Genomic DNA, 24744 nt, shown 5'->3' on the forward strand with positions numbered 1-24744 from the left:
AGGGCAGGGATAGCATTAGGAGAAATACCTAATATAGATGACGGGTTGATAGGTGCAACAAACCACCATGGCATGTGTATGCCTATGTAACAAACCTGCACATTCTGCACATGTATCCCAAAACTTAAAGTATAATAAAAAAAATGTGCTTATGATTAGGGCACATGACACAGTTTGACTGTCAGGATAAGTTCTGCACCTGTGAAAGGCAGAATTGCAACCAAACTGTCACACAGAATGCCACCTCCTATCTCCACAGAGGGTGCTGCTAATTGACGCACTGGAAAAAATCTCCCATAAGAAGGATGCTCTATGGGATTGCAATGCAATTTGAGGGGTTTTTTTTGTTTTGTTTGGGTTTTTTTTTCTGCTCATCTCATTTCCATATTTGTCATAAATGTCTCGATTTCTTGAGTTTGGTCAGCTGCATAAGGAGCAAGAAGTAAAAATCATCAGAATCATTTCAACTGTTGGGAAAACCGGATTAATGCTGGCTGTTAAAAGCTGTTAATTGCAGTTTACAAAAGAGAAATCCCTTATCTTTGAAAGTTCACTTGCTTGAGTGACTCATTCTTCCTGGGAGGGATTAATGCTTAATTAGAAAAAGATGCTAAACAATCTGATGTGCTTCCTGAATGAAAATCTCACCTTAGTTTTAAAGATTCTTAACAAGGTAACATGCTAATTATTTAATGAATGATTTGTGCTGAGCACTAGAGATGTGTTAAAATAGCAGTGCTTATCGCGTTTGGCACAGCTCCCAGAAATCAGTCCACTGAGTACTCTAGGATTTGGTGCCAAGCCTGTTTTTTGTTGTGCTTGGTGCTTGGTTTTGTTTTCCCACCTTTGAGTGTAAACATGTTTGTCAAGGTACACTGTTAGGGGAAACAGAGAGGGGCAGGGAGGGAAAGCCTGGTGGTCAAGGAAGTGAGGGTGGTGGAGGAAGAGAAGAGAAGAGAGGAAGAAAAAACAGCCAGAACTCCATCTTACCTTTGGACTATGACTGCACTATGCTGACAAATACCTGGAAATATCTGTACTCCAACCTTGCTGTAATAAGGATGTAAAGAAATTAGGAAGAGTAGCATGTATGCTTCAGAGGAAGGTGCAAGGCATTGCAAGCCTGACTTCACACTTTTCTTGGCTGTCAGGGGGTTTTCTCCTTCACAACAATACCCCAATGTTTTGGTAGGCTGACTCCAGTTCACTTTACTAAGTGGGGAGGCATGGGTGGAATGCCAGGTATGTCTACAGAGCAAAGCAGTGCAGGCAGGCTGACGCCAGGAGAGAATAGGCAGGTACCTATTGAGTTACAGGATTTCTACAAATCTAATCCGCATGTAATGTGAGACTTATTGCAGAGCCAGCCTCTGCTAGTGTTGTGAAGTCTGAGGATATGAACAGTCTCAGGACCAAAGATCCCAGTTAACCCATTGAAATCCAGTTGACCAAAACTAATAGCTTCTTATTGTTGTAATGTTATTTAATTAGAAATTGTAATTAGAAGTTTCTTGCTAATTGTATAAAAATACTCAGAGTAAAATATTAATGAACAGAGATATTTAATATGCCTGCAATACAGTGAATACACAATACAGTCAAAGCAACCAGGGCTATTTTAAGTTACTCTCTATTTAATATGTATGACATTGGATAGTCTATACATTACTAATGATGGGTATCTATAATTTATAGTACAGTTTTGCATGTGATAAGTTTGTTATGAAAATTTAAAACAGCAAGTTGTTTATTAGTATTTTAAAAAATCTACTTAAGGGAGACATTTGTTTTCTGGGACATCTTCATTAATTATTGTAATAAATTGATGATAAATTTATTAAAGGAAGGAAATCAGAATTGCCAACATAAATAGGAAAAAGGCCCAGAGACTGAAGTATCAAATAATTATGATACATTTCATACACTTTGCCTGATGATCAACCAACAAACCTCTTAGGAAAGTGGGTAAAGGAAATGAAAGTGTTTCTATACTTAATGTAAGATCATAGGAATTTTCTAGGTCAAGTTCTATAGATTAAGAATGATCAATCTTCAAGACATTCTACAATTATACAAAGATAGGACAATTGTTCTTACTTTATCAACTGTGATAAAACTCCAACCATAACTCAAAAGCCCACGTTAAAAATATTCTTAAGATATATTAACTAATAAATAACATTTAACCTCAGAAATATTTCGAGAGGCATGACTCCAATTACCTTCAGTGTTTCTTATATGTTGATATCCTCTCCGCAGGTATTTATGTTCATTATCATATTTAGACACCTTTAATAAATTGGCAACATCTTCTTCTAGGGTTTTGTTTATTAACACAAAGATGCCAACATCAAGGGTTTAAAAGTCTATATACTGATACAGGAATAAGTGTCTCCTGTGGTCCATGTATTCTAACAGATACTTTAGGTATGTGAGTTTATTTATGCACTTTTATGATTCTCAGTGTTAGCATGAAGAAATTGAGGCCCATATCAAATAACTAGTAAATAACACATGCAGACATAAACCCAAGACAGTTGATTCAAAGCCTTTTTTGGAGCAGTGTTAAATGTGGGAGACAATATAGCACTACTCAAAAAAGCTAAGGATGAGAATAACATTAGACTTGTTATCTGGAGCTCTGTGTTGAAAAATGTCACTTCTACTTCCTAACTTTTAAACTGACAGTTTGCAGCATCTCTATGTGCCTCAGTGTCCTTGTCTTTAAATAGGAATATAAAACTTACATGAGGATGCTTGTGTAAGAATGAAGTGAGACAACACTAATGAACACAACTGTGCCGACAATGTGTAGTGGCAGACAGTAATGTTAGCTCTGCTCTGTAATATTACACCCAAGTCTCTCTCTGGGTCTTGAGCTGGGTGCTGTTCCAATACACACATACTGCATCGCGAGAGCAATCCTGTTTTAAACATGGGTGAGGTAGAGAGGGATCAAAAACAGGATACGCCCTGGCTCCCGGCTGAACTGCACAGCTCTTGCAGAATTTACTGAAGGAGATTGCCTCTGAACCTCCTTCAAGGAGGTTGCAAGTTACCTTTTAAGTTGATTTGTGACACTAAAGCTAACCCAATCCTAAATTTGTTCACTCCCCCACTCTGCTTGGTTCTTTCAAGCTATTGCCAGTTTTATCCCTGTTTAACCTTTGTGGTAGATAAGAAGATAACTATTAAATCTTGGACTACTGAGTAGGCCTCTTGGAGACTGCACTCAGTATCTAACAAAAGAATGTGGAGAGAGATTCTAAGCAGTTTTTTTTTTTTTTAACCAAAAACATTGATTAAAACTAACAAATTAAGGACATTTGCCAAAATGGCATCTGTTTAATGGTGCTCCTAATCCCCAAGTTATTACTATCTTTAGTGTTTGCTAAAGATATGAAATCTCCAAACATACTGAGTAATTTTACTGAGTGATAATAGTCTATATTAATTATGCTCTATGTTTTCAACATGGCAGCAAACGTTTCCTTTTTCTTTAGGCCAGACTCATATTTAGAATACCAAATATATCTCTATAAATAGTTATATTTCTGTATTTTATTGATGCTAGATTTAAAATTTCCAAAGAAAATGTAGTTTAGAATAGTTTATTTCTATGATAAAGCAGATTGCTTAAAACTGATGTTTTAAAGAAAAGCTATAAAGTTTTAAAAGTGAAGATTAAAACATTTTAGCAATAAATGATACCTGAGACTTTTAAAAATTCAATTTCATGGTAAATGTTTCATATGCACTCGAAAAAAAATGTGTATTCCATTGTTATTGGGTGGAGTATTTTATAAATATTAATTAGGTTAAGTTGGATGATAATGTTGTTCCTCATTACCATCAACTTGTTGACATCCTGTCTACTTGTTCTATCAATTATTGAGAGAGAGGTATTGAAATCTATTTCTATAATTGTAGATTTATCATATCTATTTCTTTTTGCAGTTGTATCAGTTTTGCTGCATGTATTTCAAAGTCTTTCTAGGTACATAATTGTTTAGGATTATAATAAATTGATCCTTTTTGTTATGAAATGACCATCTTAATCCTGGTAATGATTTTGGCCTAAAATCTACTTTGTTCTATATTAATGTAGCCATACTCTCTTTTTGTTAGTGTGGGCATGGGCATACCTTTTTCCCACCCTTTTGCTCTTATCCTATTTGTATCATTACATTTAAAGTGCATTTTTTATAGGTAACATATACCAATTTTTTATCCAATCTGGTCATATTTTTTATCCAGTCTGACAATAGCTGCCTTTCAATTGTGGAGACCATTTATAATTAATGTGATTATTAATATAGTTTTACATGTACCGCATTCCTCTTCATTGTTACTATATTTCATCCCTCCTTTCCTTCCTTTTTTCTCTTTTTCTAGTTTCTTTCAGATTGAGTATTTTTATCATGCCATTTTTTTCTCCTTTGTTGGTTTATTAATTATAACTCTTTTTTATTTAATTTTGTTAGGCTGTGTAGTTTATATATTTAACTCAACACAGTCTACCTTCAAATGATATTATTCTACTCCATATACAATATACACTCATTTCTCCTTTCCCAGCTTTTGTGTTCTTGCTGTTGTACATTATATTTTAAACTTATATTATAAACTCTATTTTATTATCGCTGATTAAATAATTACATAATAAGGTAATTTAAATGATAAAAAAATCATATACTCATCTAGTCATCATTTCTAATGGTCTTCATTCCTTTGTGTAGTTCCACAAAAGATTTCATCTAGTGTCGTTCATTTATATTTCATGTAGTATCATTTTTCTTCTGCTTGAATAACTTCTTTGAACATTCCTTGTAAAACAGTAGTTCCCCTTCATGCATGTGGGATACATTCCAAACTCCCAGTGGATGCCTGAAACTGCAGATAATACCAAACTCTATATAGACTATGTTTTTTCCTATATATACATAACTAGGATAAAGTTTAATTTATAAATTTGGTACAGTAAGAGATTAATAATAAAAACAGAACAATTATAACATTATATCATAATAAGTTATATAAATGTAGTCTTTCTCTCTCTCTGTCTCTGAAAATATCTTAATTTTTGGAACCATGGTTTACTACAAATAACTGAAACTGAAGAAAGTGAAACTGTGGATAAGGGGGAACTACAGTATAGGTTTGCTAGTGGTTAATTCCTTCAGCTTTCATATGTCTTTATTTTTTCCTTAGCATTTGAATAGTATTTTTGCTGGGTATAGAATTCTTGGTGGACAGATGTTTCTTTACCTTAAAGATGTTGCTCCACTATCCTATTATTTGTATTATTTCAAATAGGAAGTCTGCTGTAATCCTTATTTTTGCTCCTTTGTATGTAATATCTTTCTTTTCTGCCTGCTTTTAAGATGTTCTCTTTGCCAATGTTTTTTATCAACTTGATTATGAGGTGCCTTGGTGTAGTTTTCTTCATGCTTCTTATGCTTTGAGTTCATTGAGCTTCTTAGAGCTAAGGTTTTATTGTTTTTATTAGATTTGGAATAGTTTTGGCCATTGTTTCTTCAAATATTTGTTTCTGCACCCCCTCTCCTCAGAGATGTGACGTATGTTTATATTAAGTGACTTGAAGTTACCCTTCAAGGCACTGAGGCTGAGTTCATTTTAAAATTTTATTGTCTTTTTCTTTTTGTTTCATTTTGGATAGTTTCTGTTGCCATATTTTCAAGTTCACTAATCTTGTCTTTTGCAGTACTTTATCTGCCATTAATCCCATCCAGTGTATTTTTTTATCTCAAACATTGTAGTTTTCATCTCAAAAATTTGTATTTTCTATATCTCTATTTAACTTTTGGAACATACAGAATACAGTTAAAATAACTGTTTGAATGCCCTTGCCTACTAATCGTAGCATCTTTATCAGCTGTGGGTTAGTTTCAACTGATCGATTAGTCTCCCCATTATGAGTTATGTTTTCCTGTTTCTTTGCACATCTGGATATCTTTGACTGAATGCCAGACATTGTGAATTTTTGCATTGTTATGTGAGGGATATCTTATACTCCAACAAATATTCTTGAATTTTGTTCTTGGATGCTAACTTATTTGGAAATAGTTCAATCATTTTGGTTGTAATTTATGATTTTTAGATGGGTTTTGAGAAATTCGCATTCCAGAGCTAATTGTTTTTTACTTCTAATCAAGGTCTTATTGAGTGCTCTACCCAATACTTTTTGAAGTCTGAGCTTTCCTGGGCTGGATAGTAGAAACAAGCACTTTCCCAGGCCCTAAGTGAGCAGTAGGCACTGTTTCTTGAGTTGTTTCACTGGTTCTTTCCCTAGATTCAGGTAGTTTGTTCACAGGTATGTGCTGGTCAGTACTCTGCTGAATATTCAGATGGCTTTCCATAGATCTCAGTTTCCCATTTCCTTAGTGTTCTCCTCTCCAGTACTCTTATGAACACTTACCACCTTGGTCTTCCCAGATCCTCTGCTCTGTCTGCTCAATTCACAAACATCCCCAGACTCCTTCTGGGTTGCCTCTTGCTATGGTTTGGCCTGGAAACTTTCTCAAGGTGGAAATCTGGGACAATCAGAAGGTTCATCTCTCTTGCTCCTTGTCTCTTGGGGATTACTGTCTTTTGTAGTATAGTATCTAGTGCCTTGGGAAAACAAACAAACAAACAAACAAAACACTGATTTATTTTCTGTGTCTGTCTTTGTTTTTGTTGTATTTGTCTGGAAGGTAAATTTAGTCCCTATTTATCCATCTTGCCCAGAGTGGGGCAAAATTAAATTTCTAAACCAGACAGAGAAATGCATAGATTCTAGAAACTGTAAATGCTCTTGCCAATTACTAGCTCCTCATTGTACAGTTGTGAATATTAATGTGTAAGACATTAAGTAGTTTTCACAATATTACACACAGTTAGTTACATTGTTATTGTTATTTTTATATAATGAAACTGAGAACCAGAAAAGTTATCATAGTGTGAGAAACTCAGAGGCCACTATGGATCTGGGCAACAAAAGAGATTTGGTTTGACTGTAAGTTGTTTTCTTTGTCTGGTTCCTGACCTGTTCTAAACTGAAAGCAGAAAACAGATATCAGCCTTGGGAAACAGGCCTACTCAACAGCTCCTCAAGCATAGGACCATGCTAATTACATGGAAAATGTTAAGGATAAGTAGAAGTTGAACAAGTGAATAAGGAATTTATGGACAATGCTCATGCTCTTAAACTACTCATTTTATTACCTTGGCATTTCTTTAGTTCTTTCTTCTAGAAAATCACCTATAAAAAAACTCAAAGACACTAATTCATATGGCAGATTAACTCTCTTGTAGACAACCACAAGTGTTACCCCACCCAACGTATTTATTTAAAGGAAAAAGCTTGGTAACTGTAAGGCGGCATTTCCAAAAGTATATTCCATAATCATGGCCACAAAATAAGAAACTTTCTGAGCTAAATATTTGACTTCTCAAAACTAAGCAACTTTCTTTCCTGTGGGTTTTTCAATCTTGACATTAATGGATACTTTGCATCTCTAAGAGAGAGAATAAAATACGCATCTTTCCCCCAATTTGCTTGTGGAACCGTCATCTAAGACAAGTATTCTATGAAAAATAACCTGGGAAAAGTTAACCTAGGAAATAAATTCTATGGCTAAATTATCAGGTACCACAAAATTTTGTTGGAAAGGTATTTCTGAGGCTAAAAATTATTTTTGAGACACTAAGAGAATTAATAACTTCAGTCCTTGCAAAAGTGGCTATATGGACTTGTCAAATCAATAGTTTGAATAGTATCTTTCTAAAAGGTCTTCATGAACACTGTACTTGAACAAGAAGAATTAATAGAAATTTTTACCCATGATGCTTTCCAGGCAGGAAGTATTAATCATAAGTTAACACTGAAATTGTATTTTGGGGGACAAAGAGAAAAAGCCTTAGATGGGTGGCATAAGAAGAAGGAATTAGGGGTTCGTTTTCATTTCCTTCCAAACTAATTGCCTAAGAAGCTTTTTATATCATCAGGAAGTACACTAACAAATGGCTTTCTTGACTTTTGCTAATCACTTTATTAATGTGTTAGCCAGATTTTAAAATATGCAGTAGTGTTAATATCTGAGGAGAAAAACCTTTATTATGTATAAATTACAAATTTTCTATCTCAATTGCAGTTGAGTTTTAATGTTTCCTTTCCAGAAAAGCCCTAGTACATATTCTTCAGGGAGCAATTCTGCACTCTTAAGGGAATGAACTGAATGACCTAATGGGTCCTTCCACCTTTAATTTCTGTAATTCAGGAAAGCCTCATAAAACACAAGCTTCCTTTGTGAATTAACTTTTCTCTGAAAATATTGAAACTACTTTCTTGCTCTCTTTGGAAGTACTTAAAAATGCTGAACAATATTAGAAATATCTACTGGACCCACACTGAAAAAAATCAGCTAAATTATACTCAATAGTTCAAGTGTAAATCTTTCAAAAAATATAACATCTCCAGTCTTTTTTTAATTATAGGAAGCCAGCCATTCATAACACCAAGAAATATAATGTTAGGGAGAAAGAATCAAAAATAAAAATCAAATCAAGCTAACAACTAATTCTGGAATATCTTTTATGTATAAATTTTATGCATAAGTATCATGGTTAAAAGAACAAAAGCATTTGCTAAGAACTCAAAAGAGGTATTACATCCCTGTTTAAAACTTGCTAGTAAATGTAATAAAATATATATAAGAATTTTTGTTGAAAATTGAATATGTGCTAGAGACCATGAAAAAATTAGAAGAAATATAAGTCAGAGTTCTTTATCATATATGTTTGCTACTTAGGAGGGAACACAAAACCTATGGTCATAGGATAATTAGTCAGAACATTATAAATCATGAATTGAAGCATAAGAGAGCTCCATTGAAGCTACAAGGGTGAGAGCATGCATAAAGAAGAAGGAGCTGAGTTATTTGCATCTTCTGTTTCTACCTCCCAGAACTCTTGGTTAAATATAGTCGAGATTAAAATCTGTTTCCTAGGCCCACACAAGAGCTTAGGAGTTCCAAGAACCACAATATCATCTGCAGAACCACACACTTTTGTGTTTTTCCTAGGGATTAGTGACATTTGTGTTTACATGTTTACACAGTATGTGTTATCTTTTTATGATTCTAATTCTAAACCAGCGTGAAAAATCACTTAAATCATCGAAATTTTAACTTTAAAATAAAAGCTATTTAGACAACTTTCTTTTTTAGGCATGGGGCCTCACGATGTTGCCCCATAGTACAGTGACTATTCACAGGTGTTGTTACAGCTCACTACAGTCTTGAATTCCGAGGTTCAGGCGATCCCCCCACTTCGGCTTCCTGAGTAGCTGGGACTATAGGTAGGCTTAGACAATATTAATGAATTAATAGTAATCCTGTTTTGTGACATAATAGAAAATGTGAAGTGGTTTCCATTTGCATGTTACTGAATAATTCTTACTATCATTTGATAGTGGTAAACCATGAAATAATTTAATTTTTTGCAGATGTCTTTCCAAAGTTCAAATGTAAAGCTACACCAAATTGACAATATATTTTGTATGAGCTTTGGACAGATGGAATATCAGAGAATGACATTTCCAGGTTTAAAAATAATCAAGAGTCCAGCAACAGATGACTGGATAAACAAAATATGGCATATAGCTAAAATGAAATATTAATCAGCCATAAAAAGAAATAAAGCTTTGACACATGCCACAACATGGATGAATCTTGAAAAAAGTGAAATAAGCCAGAAACAAATCACACATATAGTATGATTCCACTTATGTGAAATATATAGTAGGCAAATTTTTCGATATAGCAAATAGATTACAGGTAACTAGTGACCGAATTAAGGAGGAAATGGGGAGTTATTGCTTGATGGCTATAGAGTTTCTGTTTGTGGTGATGACAGGGTTTTGGAAATAGAAGAGTGGTAATGTTTGCACAACATTGTGAATATAATTAATGCCACTGAATTGTACTCTTAAAATTGTTAAAATGACAGTTTTTATGTTAGGTATATTTTAATACAATAAAAATGTTTTAAAAATAATTAGGAACATTTTCTTGCTTTGTCTTTTGGCATAAGAATGGTTACTATTTATTTCATCCTTATAATCTAAAAAATTATAAACTATTTATAAAAGCCACCTACTCTGTAAACAGTGGCCATGAGAGTAACTTGCTTTGATTAGTAGCCTATGTTTGAGAAGGCAAAGAAATAATTAACAAGATATGAGCATTGATGAGAAATGAGGTAGAAGTCAAACATGCCAAAGACCTTCAACTCATAGAAACAATGAATGAAAACACCATAGTTATAGCATTTTTCTGGGGCATTATGCTCTTTGGTAGAAAAAAGAGAAATAATGTGGTTGACAGAGAAGAAAGGGCTAAGGATAAGAAGATCTACATTTTAGTCTTAATTCTGTTGCTTTCTACATCTAGTAATTCCAGAGACTCACTTCTCTGGGTCTTCCTTTTCTCGCTTGTAATATAAAAGGGCTAGATGAGTATTCTTAGATTTTATCCCAGTTGTAAAATTTGGATAGTCAATCCAAGACATTGTGATTCAATGATGTTACTTGTTGAAACCAAATACACATTTAAATCACATTTTTATAACTTTGATACAATTTTAATATCTTATCAATTGTTGTCAACTAATAAGCTTACGGTTCAGAAATTGGACATTGTCATTTGACCCTCTAACAAGTTAATTTTTTTATGTAGCTTCATTTCCAAATTTAAAACCACATAAATTGATAATTTTATCATGATGCTTATAAAATTTTCTATCAACATATTCTTCTAAGAACAGGGTGTGGCATTGAAGTGTGGCGACTACAGAACATAACCAAAGTGTATAAATGTGTCCAATTTGTATTTTTGACCATGTTACTAATCAACTTGGAAAATAATGATCTACAAACTCACTGGCAATTATTATGGTCTGATAAAGTTAATTAAAGTTTCTTCTCATGCAGTATCTCCAATATCATTTCAGTCTTCCTCACAGAAGGGTCACAAAGCTATCTTGGACTTTACAAATGTTATTTCCTTTGTTTAGATCATCTATCTGCATAGCAATTAACCCTTATATTCTTCCAGATCCATCCCACATCCTTGCCCAGAATGTTTTTGAAACTCTCACCAAACAAGGCACTTGCAGAAGGTTAAAGCTAGCACGTGTTCTAAAGTCTGATTCTTTGTTTTACCGTAGGAGCCTATGAGCCACATGTTTTTGAGGCTGAAAGTGGCAATGGCAAGAATAATAATCCCCTGCCATTCTCAACACAATTTTTAAATTTTGCCCCTCAAATGTGTCTTTAATGTGCAAAATTGGTTATTATTATTTTAAATGTTTTTACCTCTTCAGATGTATTGGATTATTTAGTTGTTGTATCCCCCAACAACGTTTTTAATATAAGGAAGTTATGTCTTCTAATGATTATTTTGATGCTACCCTAATGCAGGAGCTATGGCCTCACACAGTGGGTATTCATTTTGTTGATTCATCTATATTTTTCTGCTATCTTTGTTTTCTTTAGCATATTGTGTAGCTAGTTCTTATAAGAGACCACAGTGGCAAAGCCAGGTCTGATTTTCACAAGGTATATCAGCAAACTCACAAGAACAATGGGTTCTGGCTTGACTTTTTGTCATATTACCTCAACCCCAGGACCTAGGTTCTCGAGCATGTCCAAATGGCCTTTTAATCATGGCACAGGATGTTATGACACACTCTACATTAATCTTCAGTAATTGACTGAAGAATTTCAGAATTCCTCCATTCTCTTCAGGATCAGAACCTTGCCCTTCACTAGGGTCTTTGAACCTTACCAGGTCCTACAATACTCCCCCATGGTGAATTCTATTAGCTATCTTTTGCCAGGAAGACCCCACAGTAATATGGGTATATCTTCTAGTAAGCAAACCCTTATTTATTTTTCCAAATTAGGGTACCCAATTATGTCTCTCACCACCAGGCCTCACCCACTGATTTAGCCCTCCAAAATGTATAATTGATACAGAGTAGTTATTTAACAAACCTCTATTTCATAACTTAATGAGTGCATTATGTCTTAGATTACTATTCTCTGTGAATACTAGGCCTCTGAACTTGGCTTAGTTCTCCCCAAGTTCTGTCTCTACCCTCTGTCTTCCTTACCCTGTTTTCCATGTCTTTCTCTGACATTCATTAGGAAAACTATATTTAGTTTTCAAATTTTCTATTTTGGAATTGCAGAACCATTTAAGGTAATTTTTGACATCATTGCTTCCTGCCTTAATATTTCAGCATGCATTTGTAGGAACCTGTTCTCTTGCATAAATCACAATATCATTATCCGGTCTTTTTTTTTAAAAAAAGAAACTTTGAAAATATATTTATTCTATAGCAATAAATGTTTGTGGTGAGAACTGATTTATTTATTTTTATTTTTTTTTACAGTGATATTTTATTTTATTTTTTTTTTTTTTTTGGCCAAGGATTTTTCTTTTCTTTTTTTCAATTTTATTATTACTATACTTTAAGTTTTATGGTACATGTGCACAACGTGCAGGTTTGTTACATATGTATACATGTGCCATGTTGGTGTGCTGCACCCCATTATCACATCTTAAGAAAATTAACCATAATTGCATCATATCATATAATCAGTTTCATACTTCAATGTCCCTAAGTGTCCCCAGGATGTCTTTAATAGCTTTCCTCACTTATAGGATTACCAAGATTCAGTTTTTTTTGACACATATTGCATTTGGTTTGATGTCTTTTTATTATTTAAAGTCAAGAACAGACCCTCAAGCTTTTTGTTTTATGAGTTTTTTTTCCTTAGAATTTAGGACAGTAGTCTTTTAGAATGCCCCACATTCTAGATTAGTCTTATGGCTTCTTCATGATTAGATTTAGGTTAAATATTTTTGGCAAAACACTACATACTAGTGATGCTGTCTACTTCTTATTGCATAGTATAAGGAACACGTAATGTCTAGTCTTTCTGTTGGGAATTCTGAGTTTGATCATTCTGTTAATGTAGTGACTGGTGGAACTCTCCATTTCTAAAGTTATATTCTTTCCAATGTGTTGGTAAGTAATCTGTGGTGTGATATTTTTAAGACCATATGACCATCGTCTCCCCCAACAACTTATTATCCCTTAATTTTGACATCTATTTATGATCTGCCTGAATCACTTATTACAAGAGAGGTTTCAAAACAGTGATTTTCTAATTCTGTCATCTCTTCTACATGTATTAGCTAGAATTCATCTGTAGGAAAGAAATAAAAAGTTTTCCTGTTTTCTTGCCTCTTCAATCTTTTTATTTTTCACTAGCAATATAGATTCTTCACATTTATAGTAATATAATCTATTACCATCATTATTCTTTTAGGTGACATTTTTGAGCCCCTTCAAGAAAGGGGCTCCTTTTTAGTACCTTTCTCCCCATTTTTTGTATGTTTTGTGGCTTTGTTTTCTTTAAGTTCTCTTTAATAAATTTGAATGCATAATCATTATTTGTAATTACAGAAGAATAAATGAAAATAAACTTTATAAACTTCCACAATTTTAGTTTCTTATCAAATTCATGAGTGTAATCCAAGATAGAGATTCAGTAATATAAAATCACTAAGTCTGCTTTAATAACATTTTGTTTTATGGTATATTTTATCAACCGCTATTTAGGAATTTGGAATTGAAGCATTGTGGCTTCTTAAGTCTCATAATGGGACACAGAAATACCTATTTTCATTTTCTGAGACTCATTCTGTCATTCTTTTATAAAAATCTTGTGAGAGCCTAAACTTGTTCTATTTTATATATTTTATCTGCAAAATTTACTTATAAGCAAAATGTTTGAAATAAGTGTGTGCTTTTTATGTTAAGATGTGATGCTTTATATGCATATTTGTTTATATATGTATATTTGTTACACACAGTATACATATATACCAAGAATGTTCCATGTACACTTCTTCCTTCTGGTAGACTTTATTTAATTTATTTATTTATTTTGAGATGGAGTCTGGCTCTGTCACCCAGCCTGGAGTGCAGTGGCATGATCTCAGCTCACTGCAACCTCTGCTCCCGGGTTCAAGAGATTCTCCTGCCTCAGCCTCCCGAGTAGCTGGGATTACAGGTATGTGCCACCACGCCTGGCTAACTTTTGTATTTTTAGTAGAGTTGGAGTTTCATCATGATGGTCAGGCTGGTCTCAAACTCCTGGCCTCATGATCTGCCTGCCTCAGCCTCCCAAAGTGCTGGGATTACAGGTGTGAGCCACCATGCCTGGCCAGATTTTATTTTTATAAACAAGAAAATAGCATGAAATTCTTTAAAAATTTTGGTGGATAAACAACCTAGATAATTAAATTAGGAAAATTGCATATATATATATACACACACACATATATATGTATATATATATATGCAATTTTCCTAATTTTATTTTATATATATATATATATGGCACCAGAACTCCAGTTGAGATAAGAAGGAATGAATCCCCTGGCTTGGTCCAGAGGACAACTTGAAGAGATGAACACAGGAGAGTGGAGGAGGACTAGAGCATTTGGAAGGAGTAGCCTCACTCAATCTTGAGAAGTTACCCCAAAACTCCACAATTAGGACAAAAGAATACCCAGGAATGAAGATGATGAATGGCTTTCTCATACACAATTTCCCCTACCTAACCTACCTAACTCAGGGTCTTGTGAAGAAGTAATGAACCAATCATGTAACATGCATGGTAAATGACCATTTTATAGTTATTGCTATCATCATCATGGTTGTTACTGTTATTGCCTTGAAGTCTGTGCCAGGGGCCCACAGAAACCACATTAACTAACATATGTTTTCATCAACCAAGTGCTAGAGATTTTTCTTGGTGCTTTTTCCCTATTATCTTCATAAAATCCTGCCAGAAAGGACATGTTATAAATGAGGATCCTATGTCCTTGGCCAGTAAAGTAACATGTGACTGCAATGTAGTAAGCAGAAGAATCAGAGTTTGAGTCTTGGCTTCCCTGAACCTTACCCAGGAAGGTTGTAGGAAGAAGAAAGATATACAGGCAGGAAGGGTAGCTTTATATGATTTTCTTGCCAGTAGAAGAAAGTCCTGGGATACGGGAGAGGTGAGGGAGGCTTCCCAGTGGCTCATGTTGGACATGCAGGACAAGATCAATTTCATGAAAGATGGGAGAGGCTGCTGGGCCCTATGCAGGACTGCACTGGTGTGACACCTGTGGGGATGAAGAGGCTAGTAAAGTAAAAAAATAATAGGAAGGCTGCATCCTAGCAACATCAGCCAGCAAAAAAAAGCAACAGGGAAGGCATAGGCAAATAGAATTTGAGCTAAATAATACACAGTGCAGCATCAAAGAAGGTGCTGAATTTCAAATGCAATTCTGTGTGCACACAACTTACCTAAATACTTACCTGTGTGTATGATTTGGCATATATAAAGATGTACATTGTAGCAATATTGGAAACAGTACAAATGCCCATTCATAATACGGACTATTAGGCAACAGTAAGGAAAAAAAAAGCTAGATCTATATATTCTGGCAAGAAAACTTATCCACATCACACTATTATTTTTAGAATACAGATGAATCATAGATTTTTTAAAACTTTAAATACTTAACATTTTTAATTGCTTACTATGAGAACATATTTCTGTATTTTTATGCTATTGAAAATGAATAAATAAATACCTAAGAGAAATCTGTTTTTTCAGCAGCTTTAGTGAACGACATTCAGAAACAACTGATTGTGTTGTTACTGTTGAGGAGAGTGAAGGAGTTTATCATTCTTACCTCCACAAAGATAAAATGCCTTTGTGTTCCATAAACTCTTGCTATAAACAACTTGCAAACAACTCCCAAGGAGAAGCCTAGAATGAAGGGCTAGCTTTGCCCTAGGTAAGACAAATGTCTGTTTGGAAGTGTCGACAATGCCTTTTGTTGAAGGGCAGACTAACTTTTTATTTAGTTCATCTTCACTTTTTACTCATGATATTATTCAATGATGTAGCATGACTATTCTGTGCTAGGCACAGTGCTAGTCTCTGCAACTGCAGTGATTACTGGGACAATCCTTGGGATATCATAGGAATTGTAGCAAGTGGTATATTTTCATTCACTCACTGCACAATAAGCAATACACCTAATAATGTATCTACGATACTCTTTCTTCCATAGTGATGTCCTTTTGATGTTAAAAGAAAAGTGCGCATTATTGTTTCTGTTGGTACAAAAAGGGATATTATGACAACTTAGAATTAACAATTTAGGGCCGAACGTGGTGGTTCATGCCTCTAATCCCAGCACTTTGGGAGGCCGAGGCAGTGGATCACCTGAAGTAAGGAGTTTGAGACCAGCCTGACCAATACGGTGAAACCTCATCTTTACTAAAAATATAAAAATTAGCTGAGCGTCGTGGCGCACGTCTGTAGTCCCAGCTACTCAGGAGGCTGAAACAGGAGAATCGCTTGAACCCGGGAGTCAGAGGTTGCGGTGAACCAAGATCACACCACTGTACTCCAGCCTGGGCAACAGAGTGAGACATTGCCTCAAAAAAAAAAAAAAAAATTAACAACTTAGAATTAGATATTTTATAAGGCAAAAATAAAATTTTTAAAGCAGTCTATGCTAGGCACAGTGACTCACATCTGTAATCCCAACACTTTGGGAGGTTGAGGCAGCTGGATCACTTGAGCTCACGAGTTCAAGACCAGCCTGGGCAATAGGGCAAAAGCTCGTTTCTACAAAAAATACAAAAATTAGCTAGGCATGATGGCTCATGCCTATGGTCCCAGCTACTTGGGAGGCTGAGGCTGCACACTACCTTGGGTGACAGTGAGACTCTGTCTCAAAAACAAAATAAGCAATCTACTTAAATAAGCCAGTGGTAAGTATCTGAAAATTTTTCAGTCATCTGGACACATGATGACATCACAGACCTTTCCATTTAATAGGTAAATTGTCATAGAGAAACTGCATTTCTAGGGATGTTATTTGCAAATATTTTCCAGAAAATGATGAAGAAAGCTATCCATTTTTAAAATAAATGTGGCTTCTCATTGGTTTTCTACAGAACCTTAATTAGAGAATCAACAACTGTGTAAAATTCCTGATTTATCTTCAGAATGAAATATTCAACAGTAAACAGCTTACAAAATGACTTATAAGCCTCAAGAGGGGAGAGGGAAAAATGCAGGGTGAAGAAGAATACTTATTTAGCTTACTGTGTGTAGACTGTGCTATCCCATCCAGCTCTCTCATGTAGCCTTCATCCTTAAAAGTGCAAAAGCACAATCTGGGAAGTCTTCCAAAACCGTCTGTATAAGGAGGAAGCACTTGCCAGGACACAGGAAGCAGTTCTTCTAGTTTGTCACTGTTGTTTCAGTGAGCACTGCCAAAACTATCCAGAAAGGTTTGAGTAATGGCAAGTGATGGAACATCTGAAATTTGAAATTTGAGATATGACCTGAGTCCAAAGCAAATGAACTGATTTTCTCTGGAGGCTAATAGTTTTTCTGTCAAGTATAAAATGAAAGGTTTCTAGGAAAATGAAGGCATTAATGGATACAGGATCTGACTCTGAGAAATCCAATATATTTAATAAGTTGTTTGAAATTTCCTGGGTAGTTTCAACAGTGTAGCTGGACTATTAGGTATTATGAAAAGTTAAAAATTAGGGTTTTGTGCTTTAGTCTAGAATTAACAACTTATTACAACTAAAATGTTGAAAAGTTCACCCTCTCTGAACCTCAGATTTTTATCTGTTGTTGAGTGTTGAACTAAATTATTTGTAAAGTTATACTATCTTAATAGTACAGTTTCTAGATATACTGAACCAATCATCTTGACCTGGAAACATGATTTAATTAATTTTGAAAAATTAAAATGATTATTATAAAATATTTTCAGGTATCATTGATCATCTTAATAATCTTATGAACCGTATGTTTTAGTTTCATTTTACATAGAGTTAAATGAGGCTATCAGAGAAGAGATAACTTTTCGATGGCCACAGATAACTCCTCTGGACTTTGTATCTTATTAATGGCCATTACAACAAAGTTTTCCATAATATAAATACTTTATTTTAGTTTTATTTATTTATTTATTTATTTAGAGACAGAGTTTTGCTCTTGTTGCCCAGACTGGAGTGTAATGGTGCAATCTCGGCTCACCGCAACCTCTGCCTCCCAGCTTCAAGCGATTCTCCCACCTCAGCCTCCCGAGCAGCTGGGATTGCAGGCTTGCGCCACCATGCCCAGCTAATTTTGTATTTTTAGTAGAGACGGGGTTTCTCCATGTTGTTCAGGCTGGTCTCGAACTCCCGACCTCAGGTGATCCGCCTGCCTCAGCCTCCCAAAGTGCTGGGATTACAGACATGAGCCACTGCCCCTGGCATAAATACTTATTTTCATTGCTATACTATATGTTGTATCAGGGAAGAATGTGTATTTCATTCATATTTTATACACACAGCACTTGTAAACAGTTCTTGTAGATTTTAATGTCGAATTGAGGAGTGGCAGAACCAAGACCAAAAAGCGTGTTGGTTTACTAGGGGGCCATGATGGTTCTGGCATTGTGCACTCTATGTATAGCTGCAAGTGGATAGCATTTGCCTTCACCATCATGTGTTTTGTTTCTAAAAATCTTATAATTTTTAGTTTATGTGTTCTGTGTTACTATCTGATGATATATTTCTAAATTACTGGAGCTCAGTGAGTGATATGAGGTCAATATCTAGCCAACGTATTACTTGCCCTTGAATTTTTGGAAAACTGTCGCATTTTAAAGGTTTCAATGAAGGAAGTTATCATTTACAGTTATTCTGTAGCTTGATGTCTATTATTTGTTAATGGTGACATTGTCCTGCCTATGGATTAGGAAGTAATTTAATAAAGGTGTAACTGTATCTTTTCAAATATTTTATTCATTTTTTATAAAGTAGATTTTTTTAGTTTGTTCTACTTGGTATATATGTATGTATATGTGTATATATACATACACATGATGTATATACATATATTATGCTCCTGTTGTCTAATAATGTAATTTTGTAGATTTCCTAAAATGTGATAAAAATGCATACTTATTAAGGATTCAGAATTCTCTGAATTACTCTTGAAATCTCTATTACTTTCTTGAGTAACTTCTGTATTATTTGGGTATGATTGGCAGCAGGGGCCATTAAATATCTGTAGATAAAAATGAATGAGTAAATGTATGACTGAATAAATGAATATTGCAACTCCTACTGGATGATGTAGTGGTTTGTTCATTACTGAATTCTGGCAAGCAGTAGTAAATGCTTCTGTGTAATTCACAATTAATACTTGTTGAATAAATTTATGAATACAAGAATAAAAATCAGTTTAAATTAATTTATTTTGTAGATGACAAACAAAATGCAACTAATTAAGGCACTTGATCTTTCTAATTAGGTATATTATCAAGGCAGATTTTTAACTCCTAGTACAATATTCTAAAACTACGTCAGACAATCATTTTCTTTGCCAAAATTCAGTCATGTAAGTACTGTATACTATGTTTCAATATATAGACTTCCTATTATTTTAAAATATATTTTATTGGAAGGTTCCAGAAAAAACCACAACTACCAATAGTAAAAATATATATAAAAGGTTAATCATTTTTATAATCAGGGTAAATTAGGCTAATGAGTTCTTATACCAGGGGCCTAAAATAAAGACAGTATTGTTTTGATCCTAAAGTAGTATTTTATAATCTATGATACATAATCCCATTAGATAATTGCTTAGCTCTTCACTGACTTTTGAGAAATATTCTTCATTAAAAATTAAAATATGTTAATCCAGTGTGGTTTTTGTAGATGTTAGTCCACTGAGTCCTTAATTCAATTACTTTGTTATTTTACAAAAAATGTATTAATAACTATTATATTCATAGTATTGTGTTCAGTATAATTGTGGAACCAAAATAATCAAACAATATAGGCTTCTTGTTCTCAAAATATTTACCCCCCCATACTTTTTCTTTGAAAAAAATAGTTCGATTTATTATTTAAAATCATCTTTTTTTTTTTTTTTTTTTGCTATGTCCTTAACAGTAAAGCCTAATGAGGTAAGTATACGCAGGTCACAGGGTTAAAAGGGAGGTGAGCTCATATCACCACATTGGGTTTGGTGATCTAATTTTTTAGCTCTTTATAAGCCCTATAGCAACTGCAGCTTTTATCTACACAATTGAACAATCAATATTTGCGTGGTCCGTGTGATTAGTTTATACACTTCCTGAAAGAAGCTGAAGACTGCTGGCAAAACAAATTATGTAATCCTTTTTGCTGATTTTTCTCTAATATCCTATGGCATTCAGAAATGGTTCCAGAATATATTCACAAAATGTAGTTTAGGAAAGAGTAAAATCATGTATGCTGAAGTAATACAGCAATGAAAAGTCTACATGGCTTAATGGGAGTATTAAGAGGGTTAAAATGGAAAACATATGCATCTGCTTTATTAATTCTTTAGTAATCTGTTTCTTATTTGGTGATTTCTTCTCATTCAACCTCTCACTGCAACTACACCAATTCAGACCCACGTTATATCACACGCAGACCATTGCAACGGCACTCCTATTCTTTGCCACTTCAGTCCGCCTTGCACAATGCTTTCAGAGTAAACTCCCACATCACCAATGATCTTGTCACACTCCACTCAAAAACATTCAATTACTTACCCAATAATTTGATTCAAGTTTATCTTATTAAATACTTTTTACTAGTCTTTGAAAATAAACTACTTCAAACTGTTCTACTCAACTTCTACCCGCGAACACTTTTTCTATTTATATTTGCTCACTCTAATAAATGCCCTTTTAATTTTAGAGAGTAAACACGCCTTTTACTCTCTAAGTAACCAATACTCTTAATAACTATTGTATTCATAGTATTATGTTCAGTATAATTGGGGAACCAAAAATATTAATCACTACAGGCTTCTTGTTCTCAAAATATTTAGATCCCCTCTACTTTTTATTTGAGAAAAAAAACTTGACGTTTATTTAAGATCATCATATACTTTTTTTGACGATTAACAAAACAATGACAACAAAAATAATACTACTAGTAAAAATAAAATATACATGTTTAATGTTTTACCTCAAATGTTACCTATCTTACAAAGGGTTTTGTTATCTACTCAACTGGTGGTAGTCTTGTCTCCCTCTTCCCTTCTTTAAGCATTGAATGCCTATAATATTCTTATGTGCTAATAATAACCTGATACTCTCTCTGTCCTAGGAAAAGTTTAAAATGCTTTAATCTCTCTTTCGGCTTTGCTGCCCCTGAGTCAGGTTAAATAGAAAGGAGAAAACCAATTTTTAAGGCAGCTGAAGCAGAGAAAGCATGGCAGAGATATTCACTCTGATTCTACAGCTGATCATAGACGTGTTGGAATGCGCCCTGAAACCCCACAGCTGAGCAATTAAGGGTTGTGTCTTTGATTCATATTTTGATACAAACAAATGGGAAGCCAAGAAAATCCTCCAAGAATCTTTTTCAGAACTCTAAGGAATCTATAAAGATATTTGAAAGGGCTTAAAGTTAAATCCATTCATAAGCAATTTACATGAACAGCAAAATTTTACTCCAGCAGATCTCAGTGGAAAACGCTCGTTTATTCTTTATATTCAAAACTGGTTTGGGGTTGTTTTGCTCATAGTGTGGAATTACTAAGGCATACCAGAGTAGCATAGCTTACTTCTTGATGATTTAAGGTATTTTTCTTAATTTAATAGCCCTGTATGTCGATCAGCAAAGTCAAAAAGTGTCATTGAGGAGGTTTTTAATACGTAGACTATTTGCAAATATTTGGGAAAATTATAGAAAAACTAACAAGGAATGATGACACACTGCAGAGGTAGTAATATTTGGAAGCCTTATCCATCTCTTGGTTTGAAGGGTCAAGTAGAGAAAGCAGTTATTGTAATCTGGCAAGAACTATAGCTGTGGTTGTAATACAAAGGGCCATTATTTTAGGAGCTACGATCTGTAGAAGAAGAATGTGGTCATTGCCAAGTTCAAAATAAGCAAAGATGATGCTAGAAGAATAACTTTCCTGACCTCTTTCTACCCTCCATCTTTGACCAGTAGGACCCAAACTGATGAAGGTTACAGAGGCCAACCTCTAGGACATAGAACAGAGTGGAGAATAGAGCTGGAGAGACAAGCAGAAAATTTCCGACACACCTCCCAAAGTCATGCCAAATGGGAACCAATTGGCACAGTCATTATATCACATTTGATTAATTACTTTAAGTTGAAAAAAAAAAGGCCGTAAGAGGAAATCTACGGAAAATATTGAAAATCTTTTCTGAAATCTGGATACTCATACCCAATATACCTCTTTACACATTCTTTGTGTAAAGTCTTTCATAGAATGGACCCAAAATGCAAACTTCCTAAAGTTAGAAAATAGAATTTTGCTGGATAGGATCACAAAAATCTGCCTCAGAGTTCTCTTCAGTAAATTACTCTTCATCACAATAATATGTAGATTATTAGTTTTTATAAGCCACACATTTTAACCTATTGCAACATTCTATTATAATAGATACAAGTCTTAAAAATAAAACAATTTAATATTTTCGTAGTATTGGTTGATCTAGCAGACTTTGATTCTGTGATTTTTGTACATAGTATATCTGTCCTTGAACTCAGGGGAATGAGTTCAATATGGACTCCAGATTTTCATGAATCTTTGAATAATTACGATATACATTTACTCATGCATTATAAACTTTCTCATGGTCCAGTATATGCCAAACATTCTTCTAACTTCTGGGGCGAATAGTAGTGTCAGAGTAAAGACAAATGGAATTTCAATATGTCCTCAAGTATTAGGAAGTTTTTGATGTTCAGGCTGCTTTCTTCTGGACAAGACACAACTATAGATTTCCCATATTGACTTCTTCTTTTTTTCTTTTTAATGTGTAGTCAACAAATTAGATTTATTTTTACAGTACACATTTATCAAGCTATAATTTTCGCAATGTTTTAATTCTGTTCTGAGGTCTACAGATACCTCTACATAAACACTAAAGCCAGTGATTTAATAATTATTTGTTTAGGTAGTATTCTAGAAGCTAGGAATTCAAGTTCACAGAGTTCTCAGTGAATCAGGATAGACTGATAATCACTATTATAAAATGTAGATGTCAACCAGATTATAAAGAGCCTTTTAAGTTTTGAAAATGAGCTTGATATTGTACTGCATCCAAATGACAACAGGAAGTCATTGACAAGCATGGAAATGACATAATCACATTTACATTTTAGAAAGAGCTCCCAGATTACAGCATGGAGAATGCATGTGAAGCAGCCAAGCACTCCTATAATGTCATGAATTATACACTATTTAATGTACCAGAATGCAAGATGGCAATGGCCTATCCTGGAGGACAATAAGGATGGAGAGAAATGAACTAATTCTAGAGGCATTTAGAAGGTAGAATTCTTGAGACTTTGTGATTAATATTATGTGATGAACCAGCAAGAGGAATCAAGAATGATGCCAACATGTGAAGCTTGGTCAGCTGAATAGGAGACAGCATAATTTACCAGAGTAAGAAATGAGGCCATGGGTGGTGGCTCACACCTGTAACCCCAGCGCTTTGGGAGGTGCGTGCCTATAGTCCCAGCTACTGGAGAGGTCAAGGCTGCAGTGAGCCACGATGGTGCCATTGCATCACTCCAGAGCCTGGGCAATAGAGCGAGACTCTGTCCTTAAGAAAAAAATGAATGATAAGGGTGGGGCATATTTGTTATTGAACCTTGTCATCAGGGTAAAGAAAGTTTCATAAAGTAAGTTAAAAATGTCATGTTACATTACGACCTCTAAAAATGGTTTAGTATCATGAAAATTAACTCTTTCTTTAAAAGGTTTATTTAAAAACTTGCCTGCAAACTATCTATATGCAATAATTTTTGGTGAGCATTATTTTAAAAATTGTTATCAATTTTTAATTGTTTTTAACCTACTCATATTAACCCTTTTAAAAACAACTTTGATAATGCAAATTTTCCTTGTCCAGAAATTTCTGAATTACTAGAATAATATTTTTCATAATATCTGAGTGTAGTTATATCCCATTTCCTATATACAAATGTGTTTTTAAAAATTAGACTTGTCATAAGATATAAGTTAGGAAGGATTTATTTATCAGCCAATTGTTAAAGCCTTTTCAGATTCACTGGTTTATTGCTTTTATATTATTCACCGGTTTATTGTTTTTACTATGGTTTTTAAATTCTTTTTCAACTTATTTTATTTTTTGTCATTCTTCCACATTTAATAATTTGTATACTTAAAGTATTCATTTCACTTAAATGCATGTTTAACTACAATTTATTTGTTTTGAAAGCAAAAAATGAAAAATGGAGAAAAGATATCAGAATGTATAATTCATAATTTATGAATATTACTGTACACACATATTGTTTGATGTATCACAAATATTCAGGAAATAATTTTAATTGAAAGAGTATACTTTATAGGCAGTCATACTTATTAAAATTGCTATCTTGATTAAAAATTTCTTGAGATTTGGCATGTAAATTGTATGAAGCTTTGTCTCATTGATTTTTTTTTGCTTTGAATTTTATTTCTCTTATGATTTTATCAATAGCCATCTATGACTTTGAAAACAACTTTTACTTGTCTTTTATGTCTTC

General features: G+C 34.0%; 1 long non-coding RNA gene across 1 annotated transcript; it reads right to left on the reverse strand.

The window, feature by feature from the left end:
- Positions 1–338: 338 nt before the first annotated feature.
- Positions 339–17381, reverse strand: LOC107986379 (uncharacterized). Its single transcript, XR_001742506.2, has 3 exons — positions 17258–17381; positions 6440–6633; positions 339–4893 (listed from the first exon to the last, which is right to left on the reverse strand). It is a non-coding gene; the product is annotated as an uncharacterized LOC107986379 (long non-coding RNA).
- Between the last annotated feature and the right edge of the window lie 7363 nt (positions 17382–24744).

This window comes from Homo sapiens, chromosome 5, assembly GCF_000001405.40.
Source record: "Homo sapiens chromosome 5, GRCh38.p14 Primary Assembly".
NCBI classification, from domain to species: Eukaryota; Metazoa; Chordata; class Mammalia; order Primates; family Hominidae; genus Homo; species Homo sapiens.